At 40.8% G+C, this 22,048-nt stretch overlaps 1 protein-coding gene across 7 annotated transcripts in view, besides 2 other annotated features; it reads left to right on the top strand.

Moving 5' to 3' along the window:
- Positions 3,074-3,193: an enhancer, noted in NCBI's record as "active region_21457". NCBI's record gives its function as "activates an Ori minimal core promoter by ATAC-STARR-seq in GM12878 lymphoblastoid cells {active_cell/tissue: GM12878}" and the evidence as "EXISTENCE:reporter gene assay evidence [ECO:0000049][PMID:35858748]".
- Positions 3,115-22,048, top strand: part of RFC1 (replication factor C subunit 1) — a 78,907-nt gene continuing 59,973 nt past the window's right edge. For all 7 annotated transcript variants that reach the window (XR_007057951.1, XM_047416054.1, NM_001363495.2 and 4 more), the window contains exons 1-2: positions 3,115-3,238; positions 18,001-18,129. Coding sequence is in view for 6 of the 7 variants with exons in the window: in XM_047416054.1 (XP_047272010.1) it covers positions 3,236-3,238; positions 18,001-18,129 (132 nt within the window). In the remaining variant the exon portion in view is untranslated. The remainder of the gene's footprint in view (positions 3,239-18,000; positions 18,130-22,048) is intronic.
- Positions 15,333-15,382: an enhancer, noted in NCBI's record as "active region_21456". NCBI's record gives its function as "activates an Ori minimal core promoter by ATAC-STARR-seq in GM12878 lymphoblastoid cells {active_cell/tissue: GM12878}" and the evidence as "EXISTENCE:reporter gene assay evidence [ECO:0000049][PMID:35858748]".

The raw sequence follows: 22,048 nt of genomic DNA, 5'->3' as shown, positions 1-22,048 counted from the left end.
GAAAAGGCCTGCAGATACCCCTTTGGGTAACAGTGATAAGAAAAAGAGGAAGCATTTATGTTTATCTGTGGCACAGAAAGTCAACCTTAGAGAAGTTGGACAGCAGTATAAGTGTGAAAATCTTACAAAAGAGTATGGGATTGGAATGACCACCATATATGATTTGAAGAAACAGAAGGAAAAACTGTTGAAGGTTTATGCTGAAAGTGATGAACAGAAGTTAATGAAAAGTAAAAAAACAAAACCAAAAAAACCCTCCCAGCACTTTGGGAGGCCGAGATGGGTAGATCACGAGGTCAGGAGTTCGAGACCAGCCTCACCAAGATGGTGAAACCCCGTCTCTACTAAGAATACAAAAAATAGCCAAATGTGGTGGTGCACAACTGTAATCTCAGCTACTCAGGAGGCTGAGGCAGAAGAATCGCTTGAACCTGGGAGGCGGAGGTTGCAGTGAGCCGAGATGGCGCCACTGCACTCCAGCCTGGGTGACAGAGCAAGACTCCGTCTCAAAAACAAAAAACAAAACAACCCCCCCCCCAAAAAAAACTACGTAAAGCTAAAAAAGAAAATCTCAATCATGTATTGAAAGCATAAATTCATAAGCATCATAGTGAACACATGCCACGTGATGGTATGCTGATCATGAAACAAAGATCTATTGCAATGAACTAAAAATTGAAGGGAATTGTGCATATTCAACTGGCTGGTTGCATAAATTTAAGAAAAGACAGGGTGTTACATTTTTAAAAAATCTGTGGCAATAAAGCATCTGCTGATCACAAAGCAGTGGAGAAATGTGTTGATGAATTTGCCAATATTTTCACTCATGAAAATCTGACACTAGACCAAGTCTACAAGATTGCTGAAACATCACTGTTTTGGTGTTATTTGCCCCAGATAGATACTAACTATGGCTGATGAGCTAGCCCATAAAGGAATTAAGGATGGGAAGGATGGAATAACAGTGCCGGCATGTGCTAATGCAGCAGGCATCCATAAATGTAAACTTGCTGTGATAGGCAAAAGCTTATATCCATACTGTTTTCAAGGAGTGAATTTCTTTCCATGCCATTATTCTGCTAACAAAAAGGCATGGATCAGCAGGGAAATCTTTTCTGATTGGTTTCACTTTTTTTTTGTTTTTGTTTTTTTTTCCTGAGACAAGGCCTCTCAAAGTGCTGGGATTATAGGCATGTGCCACCATGCTCAGTCCTATTTTGGGTCTTCAAAAATATTTCCATTCTGGATATCTATTCCTTTATAAGAAACCACTCCAATACTTATTACCTTAACAGAGCAATCATTTAATTATGTTCACGCTACTGTGGGTCAGGAAATTTGGACAGGCCTTGACTGAGTGATTTTTCTGCTCTCCCAGGTGTTGAATGGGGTCAACAAAGCTAGTGAAATTCCATCAGTTGCTGGATGGGATCTGAGATGGCTTCATTTACATGCATGGTGCCTGGTGGAGATGGCTATAAGGCTGGTCTCAGATGACCACCTCCCTGGCTTTACATGGTGCTCCAAGAGAGCAAGACAGGAGCTGCCAGTCTTCTTAAAGCTTAGGTCTGGAGTTGGCATAGTATCACTTCCATTGTATTCTTTGATCAAATCAGTCATAGGCCAGTCCAGGTTCAAGGGAGGAGTTTCAAAGCATATGCAGTCATTTTAGATCTGGTATATTTCTGAGATAGAGTATTTTCATGTAAATAAATATTCCTAAAGAAAACAATCTCACAAAGAAGTTACAGTCTCCTGACTTAAGTCTCATTTAAACTCAAGGAAGGCTTCAAATGCCAAAAAAAAAAAAAAGCAAAAGTTAAGAGGAATGTAATATAAAAGACACGTACAACTTTTTATGTCTTATTTACTCATTTATTGATTTATAACACAATGAACATTATAAATTGGTGTAGGTCCTCTAAAATTATGGGCAAAAATTTGTGTGATATGTCTGCTAAGACAAAACCGAGGCACAGTAACTTGCCCTTGGTCACATAAATAGCAGGTGGTGGGGCTGGAGACCTAGCATCCTGGCTTCAGAGGGAACAGTGCAGTGAGGCCCTGTTAATAAGTAACAGTCTGTCTGTAAATTCGGGATAAGAGTAGTCAGTGTCATCATGGGGATAAAATGAGCTAGGCTAGTCCAGAGCTGCACGTACAACAATAGGCGTTTAATAAATACAAGCTGTCAATGCTCAGCCTCTGTTGTATTCCAGGCTGTTCTATCTTTCGCCATAGAAATGTTGGTGTCATAAAGCGCAAGACCCAACAGGGGGTGGATGGGTGAGAATTTCAAAAGTGTAGCTAGAGCCAAAGCTGGAGATACTGCTTTCTCCATTGAACTCTTTATGGTCTAATCTTTCTCTTGAAATCGTACGCAAATGTTTCATTGTATTCCGTGATTCAATTGCTAATCTATTCATATACAACTGGTTTACCCCAAAGCTTTCGGTATCTTTTCTTTTTTTTGAGGCGGAGTTTCGCTCTGTCGCCCAGGCTAAAGGGCAGTAGCTCGATCTCGGCTCACTGCACCACTGCCTCCTGGGTTCAAGCAATTCTCCTGTCTCAGTCTCCCGAGTAGCTGGGACTACAGGCACACGTCACCACCCCCTGGCTAATTTTTGTATTTTTAGTAGAGACGGGGTTTCACCACATTGGTCAGGTGGTCTCGAACTCCTGACCTCAGGTGACCCACCCGCCTCGGCCTCCCAAAGTGCTGGGATTAGAGGGGTGAGCCACCGCGTCCGGCCTCTTGATGAAACCTTATTACAGAATAGATATTTATACATAATATGTAAAACGCACAGCTAAAACATTTATCTTACTAAAGTTGGTAGTAAAAACTTTTCAAAGTTACTATAGGGAAGTGCATTGTCCAGACGTGTAACCGGGAGGTACTTGGGTACCCCGCCTGCCAAGGAAACCAATATCGGATCCCCCTACTTTAGCGCCCCCGCCAAAAACCGAGCTCACACCAAAGCACCGTGGTTCCTCTCGATGTCAGCGGCCCGCCTGCCCTCGGGGCAGCACCTGGGCAGGCGTCGCACCTCCCGCCTCTGGGCGGGACGGAAGCAAAGCTCGCGCCTCCTGACGTCATCACCGCGCGCCACTGTCTTCGCCTTCTTGCACTTCGCGGGAGAAGTTGTTGGCGCGAATGGATCCTGAGCCTCGATAACAGATTCCTCAACCGGCCCACCCGCCAGCCAGCCAGCGCCTTCATCCTGGGGCTGCGATGGTGAGCCGCTGGGGGAGGCCGTGCGGCTCGGGGTCTGGGGGGGCTTTGCAGGCCTGGTGTGGACCGGGCACTCCTGGTATGCAGGGTGGGGGAGGATGGCGGTGGGTGGTTCCGGAGGCTAGCAAAGGCAGAGAAGGGGCCGCACACCGGGCACTGGACGCAAAACTTTCATTGCATCGCGGGCTCTGGCTCTGGGCGGCAGCCAGCGCGCAGGGATTTTGTTGCTACGTGTACTTGCACTTTCCCCCCGCCCCCCACTCTTGGGGGAAGGGAGAAAGGAAGAGAGGAAGGATGGTGGTTTTGGGACGCATTGGTAAAGTTATTTTCTTGTTCGGCGTTGCCCGAACCTCAGTTTGAGTACTGCCTAAAGCGTGGATTTCAAGCTTTGGGTCACGAGGGAGAAGAATGTAACAAACTTTTCTTTCTTAGGGAATATGTTGTGTAGGGCCTTAAACTTTTATCATTAACAGCTCAGCTCGTCTCATCTCCGCTCGTCATTAACGATCACCTGAGCGGTGTTGAGACCGAGGGCATGGAGAGGATATTTTATTTTGTTTAGATGAGTTCATAGGAGTCAAAAGGATAACATGGCTTACTAGGAAAAAGAAGTACAGCGAATAGAAACAGATGCAAGACATTTGACAGCTGTCATCCTCTTACCACCTGATGTTTAAAATCTGAAAAAAACCCAAGCCTCACTGCATAATTCTGGATAAAATGTTCAAACAAATTGAAAGTGAAATGATTATGCAGCCAGCAAAGCAGACATTCCTGATGGTATGGCAATGGATATGGCTCTGTGTTTGAAATATTTTTAAAGGACCATTTAAAATGTTCATTAAGCTAGAAGATACTTAACAATCCGATATAATTTTTTTCAATCATTGGTCAACGTGTCACAGTGACAACATTCTGGGGGGGGGCGGTGAAAATTTTATGCCACACTGGGAAACGTTGCAGGCCTTTGTGTTTCTTCTCAAAAAAGGGCAACAGTAATGATAGTAGCTACCTTGTACCAAGCATCTTCTTTAGGTCAATATGTGAACTGTTGGTTTTCCATGGTTTTTTTTTTTTTTTTTTTTTTTCATTTCAACCCACATCGATGCAGTTTTACAGATGGTGCAAGCACCTTTTTGGAATTTAAACAGTGTATCATATAACTAGTAGGTGGTTGAACTAGAATTAGAATCTTGGTGTTTCTGACCACCATGTTATACTACTTCCCTATAATGATCATCATTACATTTTGGAGGCCAAAGCACTGTGGTATTTTGGAAGCTTGAGACTTGGAGTCTTGAAGATGAAGAACGTGGTAATATTTTAGTTTAATGGTTTATATATTAATTTATAGTTATATTACTATGTTAGTATAGTCTAGTTTAATAGTTACGTGGTCTTGGGCAAGTAAATAGCTTAAGTTTAATCTCTTTAAGCCTCTGTTTCCTTATCTGTAAAAGAGGGGAAAATAATAGCTGCCATAGTGATTGTTTTGGGGATTAAGCAAGATGTATAGGTAAAGCTTCCGTTCTGGTTCTGGTGCCTGGCATGTTAGGCAACTACACAGCTACCAGTGATCTATTTTCTCAGAAAGGACTCTATGGAAAGTTACATAGATTTTAAGAGGCATGGTAGATTCCTCTGTCATTTATGGTGAACATAGCTTGTGTGGTCAACTTTTGATCATTCAGGTGCTTTTACTTTTGGTTCTTTTCTTTCTTTAGTACTCCTGTTCATGGTGCAGATAAAAAATAGACCTCTTCTCAGAAAAGAAATAGGTCAAATTGGTCAGTTTTGTTGTTAGTGGGTAAACATCCTATGAGGTAGATAAGAATTTTGTATTATACTGATATTTAATTTAGCCCTCCAGTCTCTAGTGCAACAATTAGCAAAACCCTAGACTAAAATTGATTCAACAAATGTTTATTGAACACTTGTGCAAAGTTATAAGACAGTAGTTCTTTTTTTTTTTTTTCCCTCAGACTGTGTCGTTGGGTATGAAGGACAGTAGTTCTCAATCTTTGTTTCAGTTACAGTTTCCTTTGATAAATACAGTGAATGATATGCAAATTTTCTGCCCAGAGAAATGCATATGGGCATATACACACCATTTTAAGGGATTGACCTATCTTCTTCTTCTTTTTTTTTTTTTTTTTTTTTTAAAGGCAAGGTCTTGCTCTGTTGCCCAGGCTGGAGTGCAGTGGTGTGATGATAGCTCACTGCCATCTCTAATTCCGGGGTACAAGCGATCCTTCCACCCTGGCCTCCCAAAGCATTGAGATTACAGGCATGAGCCACTGTGCCTGGCCTGTTCACTTATCATCTTCTTCTTCTTCTTCTTTTTTTTTTTTTTTTGAGAGTCTTGCTGTTTTGCCCAGGCTGGAGTGCAGTGTGCAGTCTTGGCTCACTGCAACCTCTGCCTACCAGGTTTAAGCGATTCTTGTGCCTCAGCCTGCCTGGTAGCTGGGAATACAGGTGTGTGCCACCATGTCCAGCTATTTTATTTTTTTATTTTTAGTAGAGATGAAGTTTCACCATGTTGGCCAGGCTGGTCTTGAACTCCTGGCCTCAAGTTGATCCACCTGCCTCAGCCTCTTAAAGTGCCGGGATTACAGGCATGAACCACTGTGCCTGGCCTATTCACTTATCTTCTGAAGCCCATCCATAGACAGCTCTTGCCCTGGGAGCTGCATTGAAAACAAAAATTCCAATTAAAAGTTATCAATAAAGAAATAAAGTACGTGTATTCACACAATGGAATACTGTGCAACCTTTATAAAAATGAGAAAACTTTATACTCTGATATGAAACAATTGCCAAAATATAAAATTTCTCTGGAAAGATACAGAAGGAACCAACTGATAACATTTGTTGCCTCCAGAGATGGGAAATATGTGTCTGAGAGGCAGGATAAGAGGGGGACTTTTTACCCTTTCGAAATTTGAACCACGTAAATAAATAGAAAGAAAATTAAAAATAAAAGAAATAAAGAAGCCATGTAGACAATTTGAATTTCACTGAGATTTAATTGTTTGCACAAAACGTGAATAAAACCTGAGAGATGCCATTTTTAAGAAGTCAGCATATATAATTAATTGGTTGGTATAATTATTGAAAATATGCATAAGATTGAATTAAACACACATGAGACTTAAGGAACAGCTGTTTGAAGAGCCGTGAGGTCAGTTTAAATAAATTGTGGTCTGAACTGTTTCATTGCTCCACTCCTACAGGCAGGCAACTTTCACATCATGGTTTACTATGTGGAATGCTCTCCCTGGAGCAGTGCTCGACTTTATTATAATATAGCTTTTGCCAAATAATATGCTTTTGCCATGCATATGTACCTGAACTTGGCCTCTAAGGCCCCTACCTACCTCTCTGATTTTCTCTCTCTGTCTTTTGAGTGTGTTAGGTTGGTTCTGTTTCTCTCCGGGCTTTTGTTGCTATTTTCTTTCTTTGAAATAGTCTTCCTCCACATCCTTGCATGTCTGTCTTTTTTTCATCATTTAAGTTTCTCTTGCTAATCCAAGGTCATGAAGATTTATGCTTAAGAGCTTTGTAGTTTTAGCTCTTACATTTAGGACTTTTATCCATTTCTGAGTTAATTTTTATATAGGGTGTGAAGTATAGAGGTCCAATTTTATTCTTTTATATGTGGACATCTAGTTGTCCCAGAACCATTTTTTGAAAAGACTCTTCTTTCTCCATTGAATTATCTTGGCACCCTTGTCAAAAATCAGTTGACTGTAAATGCGAGAGTTGATTTCTAAACTCCCAGTTCTGTTCCATTGATCTATATATCTATCTAAATGCCAGCAACACACTGTGTTACCGTGGCTTTGTCATAATTTTTGAAGTCAGGAAGTATGTCCTCCACCTTTGTTCTTTTTCAAGATTGTCTTGGCTATTCCATTTCCTTGAATTTCTATATGAATTTTAGAATCAGCAAAGATGCCACATGGAATTTTGATAGGGAATTTATTGAATCTGTAGGTCAATTTAGGGAATATTGCCATCTTAACAATATTACATCTTCCGATCCATGAATGTGGGATGCCTTCATTTGTTTAGGTCTTCAGTTTGTTTAAATAGTATTTTGTAGTTTTTCACAGTGTGAGTTTTACACTTCATTTGTTAAATATATTCGTAAGTATTTTATTCTTTTTGGTGATTTTTTTAATGGAACTGATTTCTTTTTTTTTGAGACAGTCTCGCTCTGTTGCCCATGCTGGGGTGCAGTGGCACCATCTTGGCTCACTGCAAGCTCCGCCTCCCGGGTTCACCCCATTCTCCGGCCTCAGCCTCCCGAGTAGCTGGGACTACAGGCGCCCGCCACTGCACCCATCTAATTTTTTTTTGTATTTTTAGTAGAGATGGGGTTTTACCATGGTCTCGATCTCCTGACCTCGTGATCAGCCCGCCTCGGCCTCCCAAAGTGCTGGGATTACAGGCGTGAGCCACCGCGCCCAGCTGGAACTGCTTTCCTAATTTCATTTTTGGATTGTTTATTGCAAAAGTATACAGAAATACAATTGATTTTTGTATATTGATCTTGTATCCTTGCTGAACTCATTATTCTAAATTTTTTAGTGGATTTCTTATGTTTTTCTGTAAGATTGTTTCATCTGTAAACACATGGGTTTACTTCTTGTTCAATGTAGATGTCTTTTATTTCATTTTATTGCCTAATTCTTTTGCTAGAAACTCGACAACATTGAGTACAAGTGGCAAGAGCAGACATACTTTTTCCTGATTTTAGAGGGAAAGCCCTCCAACTGCTTACTTTTTGCTTCCAAGGTATAAGGCCTTAGTATAATTTTAAATATTTTATTGATTGATTGATTGATTGATTGAAACGCAGTCGCGCTGTTACCCAGGCTGGAGTGTGGTGGCGTGATCTCAGCTCACTGCAACCTCCGCCTCCCAAGTTCAAGTGATACTCCTGCCTCAGCCTCCCAAGTAGCTGGGATTACAGGCATGTGCCACCACACCTGACTAATTTTTCTGTTTTTAGCAGAGACGGGGTTTTGTCCTGTTGGCCAGGCTGGTCTCGAGCTCCTGGCCTCAGGTAATCTGCCCGTCTCAGCCTCCCAAAGTGCTGGGATTACAGGCGTGAGCCATCGTGCCTGGCTTAAATACTTCACAATTATTTCATGATTTTTTTTCTGTGTTCCCACCAGTTAAATCATTATATATTTTATTCAGATATATGATTTTGCATTTTAATGATTTTCAGGATAAAAGATTTTTGTACTTGGATAGACTTTTGTGAAGTATGTTGATGATAATCCATTTCTGCTCATGGATTTGGTGGGCTGTTTTAAAATATTAACCAGAAATACTTATATTTCTTTATTACTTTCAAAATAGAGAAGTAAAACCAAAATACAATATTTTGTCAACCGCTCTGCAGCATACTGCGGTACTTATTTTGCATAAAACTGTGTACTCTTCAAAGATAAAATGAACACAGTGACATAATTTGCTTTCTCCTTTTTTTTTCTGAGACAGAGTCTCGCTCTGTTGCTCAGGCTGGAGTGCAGTGGTACAATCTCAGCTCACTGCAACCTCCGCTTCCCAGGTTCAAGCAATTCTCCTGCCTCAGCCTCCCAAGTAGCTGGGACTGCAGGTGCTCGCCACCATGCCAGGCTGATTTTTGTATTTTATTTTATTTTATTGTATTTATTTTATTTTATTTTATTTTATTTTATTTTATTTTAATTTTATTTTGTATAGAGATGGAGTCTCGCCCTGTCACCCAGGCTGGAGTGCAGTGGCGCGACCTTGGCTCACTGCCAACCGCTGCTGCCTGGGTTCAAGCGATTTGCTTGCCTCAGCCTCCCAAATAGCTGGGACTACAGACGTATGCCACCACGTCTGGCTAATTTTTTTGTATTTTTAGTAGAGATGGGGTTTCCCCATATTGGCCAGGCTGTTCTCAAACTCCTGACCTCTAGTAATCTGCCCGCCTTGGCCTCCCAAAGTGCTGGGATTACAGGGGTGAGCCACCGCACCTGGCCGATTTTTGTATTTTTAGTAGTGATGGGGTTTCACCACGTTGGCCAGGCTGGTCTCAAACTCCTGACCTGAAACGATCCACTCACCTTGGCCTCCCAAAGTGCTGCAGTTAAGGTGTCAGCCACTGCACCCGGCCAAAAAAAGAAAACATTTTTGTGTTGCCTTCATTTTTATTTATTTATTATTATTTTTAAATTTTTTATTTCCATGGGTTTTTGGGGAACAGGTGGTATTTGGTTACATGAGTAAGTTCTTTAGTGGCGATTTGTGAGATTTTGGTGCACCCATCACCCAAGTAGTAGGTATGAATCCAGTTTGTAGTCTTTTATCCCTCACTTCCTTCCCACCGTTTCCCTGACTCCCCAGAGTCCACTGTATTATTCTTTTTTTTTTTTTTTTGAGACAGAGTCTCGCTCTGTCACCCAGGCTGGAGTGCAGTGGCGCAATCTTGGCTCACTGCAAGGTCCGCCTCCCGGGTTCATGCCATTCTCCTGCCTCAGCCTCCTGAGTAGCTGGGACTACAGGCGCCCGCCACCATGCCTGGCTAATTTTTTGTATTTTTAGTAGAGATGGGGTTTCACCGTGTTAGCCATGATGGTCTCGATCTCCTGACCTCATGATCCACCCGCCTCGGCCTCCTAAAGTGCTGGGATTACAGGCTTGAGCGACCACGTATTGTATTATTCTTATGCCTTTGCATCCTCATAGCTTAGCTCCCACTTATGGGTGAGTGAGAATATACAATGTTTGGTTTTCCATTCCTGAGTTACTTCACTTAGAATAATAGTTTCCAGTCCCATCTGGGTTGCTGCGAATGCCATTAATTCATTCCTTTTTATGATTGAGTAGTATTCCATTGTATATATATATCTCCCACAGTTTCTTTATCTACTTGTTGATTGATGGGCTGAATGACTTTATATTTTAAAAGTGCTCAAATCATTGCATGGCACAGAGTGAGGCCTCTAGAAAGTTGTGTTAAGTAAACAAAAGAAGTCCTGAATCAAGGCAGTGGCAGTGGGAATAGAGGGGAGAAGACAGCAGTATTTGGGAGATCGTTTAGGTTGGATGATTAGGTGGAGGGCCAGAGGGAGGAGGAAAAGCAGTGGCCATGTTTCTGTTTTGGGTGAATGGTGGTGCTATGCATGGAGATGGGGAATAAAGGGAGAGAAGCAGGTCCCAGCTGAAGATAAATTTAGTTGAGGACATTATTAGTTAGAGGCACCTTTGGGAGATTTGCAATGGGATGGATTTGGCTGCATGTTGGCTGCATAAATATGGAATTCAGAGCTGGTCTGGAGAAACAGACACAAGATTTAGGAAGTATCGGTATGTACATAAGTGGTACTGGGGTTAAGTAGGTGTGAGTTAGTTCGCACAGTGTGAGTGTGTGGTTCCGGAGTTTTGACTTGGGGTTCCCAATAGGCTTTAGGGGAAAACCCCTAACATTGGATACAAAGTTTTGTGCATATGTTTGTTTTTTCGTATTTCCGTGGAAAATATGTGTAGCTTTCATCCACAAAAGCATAAAAACAATTGGCATGATTAGTGGGAGAGCACCTGCTTTGTTTCCTTGGCACACATTTTGGCTTATTTTAATAAATGAGCAACTTGTTGCAGGTGTTGACAACTTCCTTCACTAGCATATAAGCTCTGTAAGGGCAGGGGTCACAAGGAGAGGGAACTGCCATATAGCGCGTGGCTCACGGTGCGTTTTCCACAAATATTAGAGGAATGAATAATTACAAGTGAACTTTATATTTCCACTAAAAATACAAATAAACTAGAAGGTAAAACTTCCTGGTATAAAAACATCTCTCGCACTGTTGCATGACTTTATATCTAAGCTATTAAAACACTTAGCGACAAATAATATTGCCTAGAGAAATACAGTTATTTTATTATGTTGTAGGTCTATTTTCAGTTTGGACTTAATTTCTTTTTTTTTGAAACGGAATTTTGCTCTTGGCCAGGCTGGAGTGCAATGGTGCGATCTCAGCTCACTGCAACCTCTGCCTCCCAGGTTGAAGTGATTCTCCTGTCTCAGCCTCCCTAGTAGCTGGGATTACAGGTGTGCACCACCATGCCTGGCTATTTTTGTATTTTTAAGTAGAGACAGGGTTTCTCCATGTTGGTCAGGCTGGTCTCGAACTCCCAACCTCAGGTGATCCACCCGCCTTGGCCTCCCAAAGTGCTGGGATTACAGGTGTGAGCCACTGCGCTTGGCCCAGTTGGACTTTATTTCTGTGTTCATTTAAGTAGTTTAAATTTGATTTTTTTGGCTCAGAAGTCAGTTGTAAAAAGCTAGCTTCTGGGCCGGGCGCTGTGGCTCATGCCTGTAATCCTGGCACTTTGGGAGGTGGATCATGAGGTCAGGAGTTTGAGACCAGCCTGGCCAACATAGTGAAACCCTGTCCCTACTAAAAATACAGAAAAATTAGCTGGGTATGGTGATGGGCACCTGTAATCCCAGCTACTTGGGAGGCTGAGGCAGGACAACTGCATGAACCTGGGAGTTGGAGGTTGCAGTGAGCTGAAATCGCCCCACTGCACTCCAGCCTGGGCGACAGTGCAAGACTCTGTCTCAAGGGAAAAAAAAAAAAAAGTTAGCTCCTGGATGAATAAAAACCATAATCGGAGTACATTAGCCCTGGTGAAAATGTCAAAATTCTGAAATAAACCATTAGATCAGGCATAAACAGTCTCAAATGCTTTAGTTATCCCAGTTATGCAGGTATGAAAAGATGCTTTTTAAACTTAAATTAGATAATTATTTCCATTTGCTATTTTAATATGCCTGTGTTGATTTGTATTTTTGGATCAGGTACCTGGAAACTTCTGTGATAGAGTATTTCATTGAATGCGTAGTCTAAAGCTCAATGATAGTAAATATTATGACTTCAGAATCTTATTCTTCCCTCTTGCCACAACAGCAGTAGAAATGGGTCTTTTTGCTGTCATGGGAGTGGCCTCTCAGGTAGACTTAACAGATACTGGGGTGAGTAGGGGAAGTAGTTTCTATTCTCTATTTCTGTTCCCTCAGTGTGCTTTATTTCTTCTGTTCTTTCTTTTCTGTGCTCTGCTTTGTTTTCTAAAGATGGATTAAAGAAAGATTAGGAACAGAAAGTAGAATGAAAGCTTCACAAGAACAGAGACCTAGCCTGTTTTGTTTATCCCAAGCATCAAAAATAGTTCTTGGTCCATAAAAGGCTCTGAGTAAATATTTCTTGAATGGATAAATGAATGATTGAATGAAAAAAGTTGATGCGGGCTCTTAAAATTCTTCCTAGCTAGAACTTGTTACTGTTCAAAAGTTTTTCAGACCACACTTATATTTCACTCACCAGTGTTTTCCTCAGAGAAGTTTTTGAGACCCATGCTAGACTGTTAAATTAGTAACATCAATTATAAATCTAGAGATATTTCTGATTTCTTTAAAAAAGTTATTAGTTTGACTTAAAATAAATTTTAAAGAAGAGGAAATGTCCTACTAAAAGTGAAAGTATATTTTTGTTTTTTGTAGCCACAATGTTTTAATATGAGAGTAACAGAAAATCAATTATAGAAACTCAGTTTTATTAACTTAGCTCAGAAATAATATATAATCAGCATTAATTTAATACCTTCTTAAAATTTCTTAGGTAAAGTCATAGCACAAAGTTAATCCCAATTAAAAGATTCTTTTAATACATAATCTTTAAAAACAAATCTACCATTTATTTTGGTTTACATAATCAAGAACCTCTCTTTCTGAGTGCAGTTGTGAAGGTCAGTGGCCTGAGGAATAACCGTTCATGTGTTCAATGAATTTTTTTGTTTTTAAGACGGAGTTTTGCACTTTTTCCCCAGGCTGGAGTGCAGTGGCGTGATCTTGGTCCACTGCACCCTCCACTTCCCGGGCTCAAGCCGTTCTCCTGCCTCAGCCTCCTGAGTAGCTGGGATTACAGGCACGTACCACCAAGCTCGGCTAATTTTTGTATTTTTAGTAGAGATGGGGTTTTGCCATGTTGGCCAGGCCAGTCTGGAACTCCTGACCTCGTAATCCACCCGCCTCGGCCTCCCAAAGTGCTGGGATTACAGGTGTGAGCCATCACGCCCTGCCTACCATTTCTTTTAGAAATGAAATTACTGGGCAAAGGGTATGTACCTTTAAAATTTTGGTAAGTGTGGCTAGATTGCCTTCCATAAAGGTTATACCAGTGTTTTTTTTTTTTTTTTTTGAGGTGAAGTCTCGCTCTGTCACCAGGCTGGAGTGCAGTGGCATGATCTCGGCTCACTGCAGCCTCCACCTCCCGGGTTCAAGCGGTTTTCCTGCCTCAGCTTCCCAAGTAGCTGGGACTACAGGTGTGTGCCACCATGCCCAGCTAATTTTTGTATTTTTAGTAGAGATGGGGTTTCACCATGTCGGCCAGGATGGTCTCGATCTCTTGACCTCGTGATCCACTCACCTCGGCCTCCCAAAGTGCTGGTATTACAGGGGTTAGCCATTGCGCCCAGCCAAGGTTATACCAGTTTTCACTTTTATCAGCAGTATAGTGCGTGAGCATCTGTTTCCCCACATCCTTGACAGATATGGGCATTATCAGTCTTCTAAAACTTAGGGGAAAATGATCAAGTTTTAACTTATCTGCTTATTTGTGACATCTAGCATTTTTTATGTGTGTTGGCTATTTGCATTTCTTTTATACTTTGCCTATTAGGAGCTTTTATTTATTTTTTCTATTGGTTAGGTTATCTTTTATTGATTTGTAGGAACCCTTTTACAAGTTTTGTGTGTGTGTGTGTTTTAAGATAGGTTATTGCTCTGTTGCCCAGGCTGGAGTACAGTGGTGTGATGGTCATGGCTCACTGCAGCCTCAAACTCTTGGCGCGCAAGTGCCACCCCAGCCTCCTGAGTAGCTGGGACTACAGGCATGCAGGCATGTGTCACTACACTAGGCTGATTTTTTTTTTTTTATTTGTAGAGATGGGGGTCTCCCTGTGTTGCCCTGGCTGGTATTAAACTCTTGGGCTCAAATGATCCTCCCGCCTTGGCCTCTCAAAGTGTTGGGATTACAGGTGTGAGCCACCACACCTGGCCTGTTGTGTGTGTGTGTGTGTGTGTGTGTGTGTGTGTGTGTGTATTTTTTTTTTTTTTTTTGAGATGAGTGTCGCTCTGTCGCCCAGACTGGAGTGCAAAGGGGCATTCTTGGCTTACTGCAACATCTGCCTCCCAGGTTCAAGCGATTCTTGTGCCTCAGCCCCCTGAGTAGCTAGGATTACAGGTGTGCACCACCACACATGGCCAATTTTTGTATTTTTAGTGGAGATGGGGTTTTGCTGTATTGGCCAGGCTGGTCTCAAACTGCTGGTCTCAAGCAGTCCAACTGCCTCGGCCTCCAAAGTGCCGGGATTACAGGCGTGAGCCACTGTGTCCAGCCTGTTGTAGATGTTTTTAAGTTAGTTGCTTTTTTTTTTTTTTTTTTTTTTTTGAGATAGTTTCACTATGTTGTCCAGGCTGAACTTGAACTCCTGGGTTCAAGCAATCCTCTTGTCTCAGCCTGTCTGGTACCTGGGACTGTAGGTGTGCACCACAGTGCCCAGCTCTGTTGCTTGCATTTTAACTTTGTTTATGGCACTTTTTGTGTAGTAAAATCTGCCTTTCTTTAGGGATGGTTTCTGGCCTTGATGTTCTGCTTTGAGGGACTTCTACTTGCCAAGATTGAAAAATAAATTTAAATATTTGTTCCTTTCTCCACTCATATGCTCAACAAGAATTATTCTGTGCAGGCAAGAGAAGTGTTTAGATTCATTATTTGGGAGTTAGACTTGTTTTTCTGCATTTCATGAAGTCTTTGAAGGTCTAGAACACTGGACAGCAAATGTTAATTGGAACAGTCAGGTGAAGTCACGTGCTATAAATTAAGGACAAATTGCTGACCTTTGCCTCTTAGATGTTTATACCTCAGATGGCTGCTCACACTGGAGATAGTTCTAAAAAAGTATGAGTAGAATGGCTTCCATTCTGATGAAAATTATTTTCTAAAAGCTTTGATTTTTAGTGTATACTGAGTTAGGTTACGATGCTGCAATTTCTTTAACTCTTACGTTGCCATCAGAGTGTGGGGGAGTTTAGGGGAGTAGGGTAAAGTAATGCAAAGGGAAAGAAAGGAGGATGTGAGTGGAAATAATTACGTAGGGAGGAAATGGTGTAACAGTGCTAAGGAGTGGCAGTGCAGATTTTTGTACAGACAAAAACCAGACAGATCAGTGTTAACAGTGGCTCTGTTTCCTGAATTACATTTTGTTTTCTTTCTCTTCTCAGTTTTAAGCATTTTTGGTCCGAAAACAGGTTGAAAACCACCACTTGCTTTAACCAGATTATTAATTTACAGTTTGGTTATTTCCATGGCACACATGCACTATCACTCTGTCTTTGTGTGTATGTGTTTAAACAATCACTACTTTTTATTTTTAAAATGTTTCCATCTATGAGCTCACTTAGAACAGTCATGATTGTTTGAGTGAAGAATCACTGTGTAATTTCAAAAGTGAAACTGATACGAAACTCATTTGCTCCAGAAGCAATAAAGTAGTTGTCAGCCTCAGACTTGATTCTCTGTAATTATAGGAAAGACTGTGGTTTTCTTTATTGTTCTTCTCCTCTTTAGCATCTGATACAGATGTCTCAGTTTCATAGCTGAGACACCCAGTCTGTAAGCAGTATCTTTTAAACTTAGACTTAATTAGGATGGATTTGTAACTAGGAGATTTACAAAAGAGGATATAAAGCCAGAGAAGTCTTTAATCTTTTTTTTTAATTTTTTTTTTTTTTTTTTTTTTTGAGACAGTCTCGTTCTGTCGCCCAGGCTGGAGTGCAGTGGTACAATCTCGCCACACTGCAACTTCTGCCTCCCAGGTTCAAGCGATTCTCGTGCTCCAGTCTTCAGAGCAGGTGGATTATAGGCATGCACCACCGTGCCTGGCTAATTTTCATATTTTTAGTAGAAATGGGATTTCACCATGTTGACCAGGCTGGTCTTGAACTCCTGGCCTCAAGTGATCCTTTTGCATTGGCCTCCTAAAGTACTGGGATTATAGGCATGAGCTACCTTACTTGGCCTTAAAAAAATTATTTAACATGCTATGTACTTCAATTATCTGCTTTGTTTATTGGCTTAGCCACAGTTATTTGTGTGTGTGTGTGTGTGTGTCACACTTATTTGGGATTTTTGACATTGTAAGAGTATGACAATTATTGTCAGGATCTAGGAAATAATTGCTAACTTTTCTTAACACTTTACAAAGTACTTTTATAGGCATTTCTCTCAGGCAATAAAGAGAGGTAGGTTGTAGGGATAAAAAGTGATAAAAACTGGTGATTACAACCATCAAGGATAGGAAGAGGGAAAATGATACAGGTGGTTCTTAAATCCAGTTCTTTGGAATTCAGATCCTACATTCTCATTATTTTTTCTTCTTATACCCTTCTCTATAAGCAGAGATAATGATAAACAGAGTGTTTCAGTAATATGAAGGGATGATAGTTCAGAAATGAGGTGAGGGTAAGATTTTTACTGGGCCAGAATTGTGGTAGATGCATAATTAATCCACATAAAGGGTCAGTATTAGTCCCACTTTACTGAGGAGAAAACAGATAAAGTAGCTTGCCCAAGATCACACAGTTAAAAAGCACTAGAGCACAGATTTGAATTAAGGCTTCTGATTCTAAGGTCTGTTCCCTTTCCTCTATACCACAGTTTCTTAAACTAAATTTTAGAGAGGTGGGGAAGACTATGCAAAGGTTAGGAAAAGTGAGTGATTTTAATTGTAAATTACATTGTAAATGTTTCAGTGTGATTAATTTGAATTCTGTGGTTTAACACGGGTAATTAAAGAGCATATTGTAATAAGCATCAAAGGTTTTTTTTCTTCAGGATGTTGAAAAATCATATAAAGGAAAACAATTTGAAGCTTTTTAGTTGCCAGGAATGATTAGGGTTGTGAGAGTTATTCTTTCATACTGGAGTATATGTTCCACAGACAAGGATCATATTCTCCAACTTTGTCTTCTCCCCAGCTATGCCTGGGATGATGGGATGTGTATGTGTATGTGCATGTATGATCAATAATAAGTAACTGCCACTTGCCTCTTTAATAACTCTGATGTCATTAGCAAAAATATCACTTGCTTATTTTGGCCTGTTTTTGGCCTGATTCTGAGAATTTATATTACTCTTTATTAGACAAATTATTCTTTTTTTTTTTTTTTTTTGAGACGGAGTCTTGCTTTGTCATCCAGGCAGGCTGGAGTGCAGTGGTGTTACCTGGGCTTACTGCAACCTCTGCCTCCTGGGTTCAAGCAATTCTCCTGCCTCAGACTCCCAAGTAGCTGGAATTACAGGCACCTGCCACCATGCCCAGCTAATTTTTTGTATTTTTAGTAGAAACGGGGTTTCACCATGTTGGCCAGGCTGGTCTCGAACTCCTGACCTCAAGTGATCCACCCACCTCGGCCTCCCAAAGTGGAGGGATTACAGGCGTGAGCCACCGCGCCTGGCCGACAAATTATTCTTAACTCAGGTAAAGTTATCAGTTAACTTTTGCACATGAAAAGAAAGCTACTATATTCGTGGAACTATCTTGGTATGGAAAAATTACTCAGGGTAACCCAGTGTGTACATAAAGCTGTCCCATCTTACAATTGAAGTTATAATTTTATGCGGTTAATGTTTATTCGTGAATCTCCTGTTTTTTGCTTTTAGGACATTCGGAAATTCTTTGGAGTAATACCAAGTGGAAAGAAACTTGTAAGTGAAACAGTAAAGAAGAATGAGAAAACAAAGTCTGATGAAGAAACTTTAAAAGCAAAGAAAGGAATAAAGGAAATCAAGGTTAGTTTTCTGGGTATAATTTTGCATTGAATGAAATGTAAAATAAACTCAGTTCTTATAAGTTTTTTTTTTTTTTTTTTTTTTTTTTTTTTTTCCTGAGACAGAGTCTTGCTCTGTCGCCCAGGCTGTAGTGCAGTGGTGCAATCTCGGCAGACTGCAAGCTCCGCCTCCTGGGTTCATGCCATTCTCCTGCCTCAGTCTCCCGAGTAGCTGGGACTACAGGCGCCCGCCACCACACCCAGCTAATTTTTTCTATTTTTTAGTAGAGACGGGGTTTCACCGTGTTAGCCAGGATGGTCTCGATCTCCTGACCTCGTGATCTGCCCGCCTTGGCCTCCCAAAGTGCTGAGATTACAGGCGTGAGCCACCGTGCCAGCCATTCACTCCATTCTTTATGCCCTAGTTGTCATATATATTACACCTACATATGTTAATACTGCACAATTCAATGTAATTTTACTTTAAATAGATGTGTATTTTTTAAAAAAATTAAGGCAAAAATTGCTGTTTTTATTTTATGCACGTATTTGCTATTTCTGATGCTTTTCATTTCTCACTGAAGATCTGAGTTTTCGTCTAATATCATTTTCTTTCAACTTGAAGAATTTTGTTTAGCATTTTTTGTAGTGTAGGTCTGTTGGTGATAAACCTCTATAAGTTTTTGTTAATCTGAAAATGTCTTTATTTTGCCTTCATTCTTGAAGGTTATTTTTGCTGGATATGGAATTTTGGGTTGACTGTTTTTTAAAAAACTTAAGCCTTTTAAAGATGTTCCACTGTTTTTTGGCTTCTAGTTTATCTGATGAGATGCCTCCAGTCATTGATGTTGTTTTCTCATGTGTGTTGTTTTTCTCATGGTTCATTAAAGAATTTTTTAATTTTTGGTTTTCAGCAGTTTGACTATGGCTTACCTGAGTGTGGTTTTCTTTTGTTTATCCCATTTTTGGTTTCTGAGCTTCTTTAATCTGTAAATTTATATCTTTTATCAAAATTGGGAACATTTTGCTATAATTTCTTCAAATATTTTTTCTGCCTCATTCTCTCTCTTCTCTTCTTGAATTACAATTACATAAACGTTGGAGTTTTGATATTGTCTCACGGATCATTGAGCCTTGTTCATTTTTATCAGTCTTTTTTTCAGATTGAGTACTTTCTCTTTCTGTCTTTAAGTTCATTGATTCTTCTTTTATCACCAATTTACTGTTAAGGCTATCTAGTGAATTTTTATTTTACATATTGTATTTTTTAATTCTAGAATTTTCATTTGTTTCTTTTTTGTAGCTTTAATTTCTGTCTTTTATGTCCTTGAGTGTAATTATAGTAGCTGCTTTAGTTTTTATTTTGAGATGGAGTTTTGCTCTCATTGCCCAGGTTGGAGTGCAATGGCACGATCTCGGCTCACCGCAACCTCTGCCTCCTGGGTTCAAGCAATTCTCCTGCCTCAGCCTCCCAAGTAGCTGGGATTTTAGGCATGAGCCCCCATGCCCGGCTAATTTTGTATTTTTAGTAGAGTTGGGGTTTCTCCATATTGGCCAGGCTGGTCTCAAACTCCCGATCTCAGGTGATCTACCTGCCTCGGCCTCCTGAAGTGCTGGGATTACAGGTGTGAGCCACCGTGCCCGGCCTAGTAGCTGCTTTAAAATTCTTATCTGCTAATTCTGACATCTGTGTTGTATCAAAATTGGTCTTCATTAAATGCCTTTTGTCCTGATTCTTTGGGTCATGTGTTAGTTCAGGCCACCATGACAAAATACTACAAAATAGATGGTACTGGCTGATTAGGTGTCTGGTGAGGGCCTTTTTCCTGCTTTGTACATGGCTGCCTTCTCGTGTTGTCCTCACATAGCCTCTTCTTAGTGCATATGGGTGGAGAGAGAGATTGAGCACTGGTGGAGAAAGAGAGATAGAGATTGAATGAGCACTCTGGTGTCTGTTCTTATAGAATGCTAATCCTGTCAGATCAGAGCCCCACCCTTACGACCTTATTTATCCTTAATTACTTGTTTAGAGGTTCCAACTCCAAATATAGCCACCCTGAGGGTTAGGGCTTCAACGTGTGAATTTTGGGGACACAGACATTCAGGATATAACATTCCATCCATGGCCACCCAGAATTTATGTCCTTCTTGCATGCAAAATACATTCATTCCATCATAACAGCCCCCAAAGTCTTAACTCATTTCAGCATCAAGTCTGAAGTCCACAGTCTCATGTCAATATCATCCAAATCAGATATGGGTGATACTTGAGGTATGAATCATCCTGAGGGAAAATTTTCTTTTGCTGTGAACCTGTGAAACCAGATAAGGAATGTGCTTCTAAAATATGATAGTAGAACAGACATATAGGATAGACATTACCATTCCAAAGAGGAGAAATCAGAAGGGAGGGAGGGGTGATGGATCCCAAACAAGTCCAAAACCTAGCAAGGCAAATTCAATCAGAACATAAGCCTTGAAAATAAACTCTTTGGCTTGATGCCCTGCCCTCTAGACCCACTGGGTTAGTGGCCCTACCCCCACAGTCACAGGCAGCTGTCCTGCTTCTGCAGCTCTGCTGGGCCATCCTGCCCACAAGGCTTTGGGTGGTGGCTGTCTCATCTGTTGAAACCAAGCTCCATCTTTTGAAGAGGGAGTTCTGATGGTTGATCTCTGAATTGCTTTTGGGGCCATTCTTCCCTTTTCTTGAAGAATAGCTGTGTTGTCCTGTCACTGGAATCTCAGAAGTCTGACAGCCTTCTTTCATTTTGTCCTTTCTCCATCCTCTTCAATTCAAACTGACAGTGTTTTTGCCTGTATAATCCCATAATCTCTTTATCAAGTGATACTCCAGCTACACCGTTGCTATTCTCTTTAGAACATGCTTTTTCTTTTCTTTTCTTTTCTTTTCTTTTCTTTTCTTTTCTTTTCTTTTCTTTTCTTTTTTGAAACAGAGTCTTGCTCTGTTGCCCAGACTGGAGTGCAGTGGCGCAATCTCGGCTCACTGCAACCTCTGCCTCCCAGGTTCAAGTGAATCTCCTGCCTCAGCCTCCTGAGTAGCTGGGACTATAGTCGCGTGCCACCATGTCCAGCTAATTTTTTGTATTTTTCCTAGAGATGGGGTTTTACCATATTGGCCAAGCTGGTCTCAAACTCCTGACCTGAAGTGATTGGCCTGTCTCCCACAATGCTGGGATTACAGGCGTGAGCCACCACACCTGGCCTAGAACTTGCTTTTTCATTTTCTGAAATACGGACAGGCTGAGAATTTTACAAATCTTCAAGTTCTGGTCCCTTTTGGCTGACCGGTTTCTTCATTAGTTCATCTCTTCCGTTTTGCATTTGACTACAAGCAGTCAGGAGGACTCAGGCCGCATCTTCAAGATTTTGCTTTGAAATCTCCTCAGCTAAATATCTGATTTCATCATTCACAGGTTCCATCTTTCACAAAGCACTAGGACACAACTTGGCCAAGTTCTGTGCCACTTTATAATAAGAATTGTCTTTCTTCCAATTTCCAATAATCTCTTTCTCATTTCCATGTAAAACCTTACCAGGTTGGCCTTTAACATTCATATTTATACCAACATTCTGTTCATGATGATATATGTATTCTCTGAGATGAAAGAGGCTTCTTCTCTAGCTCTTCTCTTCTCTTCATCAGCTCTCATTGTTATTACATTTAACGTTCATATTTCTACCAGCAGTTCCTTCATGGCAGTCTAGGCTTTTTCTACATGCTAGAAAATATCTAGCCTCTCCCCAGTTCCAAAGTCACTTCTGTATTTTAGGTTTTGTTTTGTTTTTGTTTGTTTGTTTGTTTTATAGTAGTATCCCATTTCTTGGTACCAAAATCTGTATTATACAGTCAGAGTTCTGTAGAGAAACAGAACCAATAGGATGTATGTGTGTATACATAGAGAGATTTATTACCAAGAATT

Source organism: Homo sapiens, chromosome 4 (assembly GCF_000001405.40).
Source record: "Homo sapiens chromosome 4, GRCh38.p14 Primary Assembly".
NCBI lineage: Eukaryota > Metazoa > Chordata > Mammalia > Primates > Hominidae > Homo > Homo sapiens.
The sequence above is the reverse complement of the archived record's forward strand: the minus strand, read 5'-3'. Positions and strand labels throughout refer to the sequence as shown.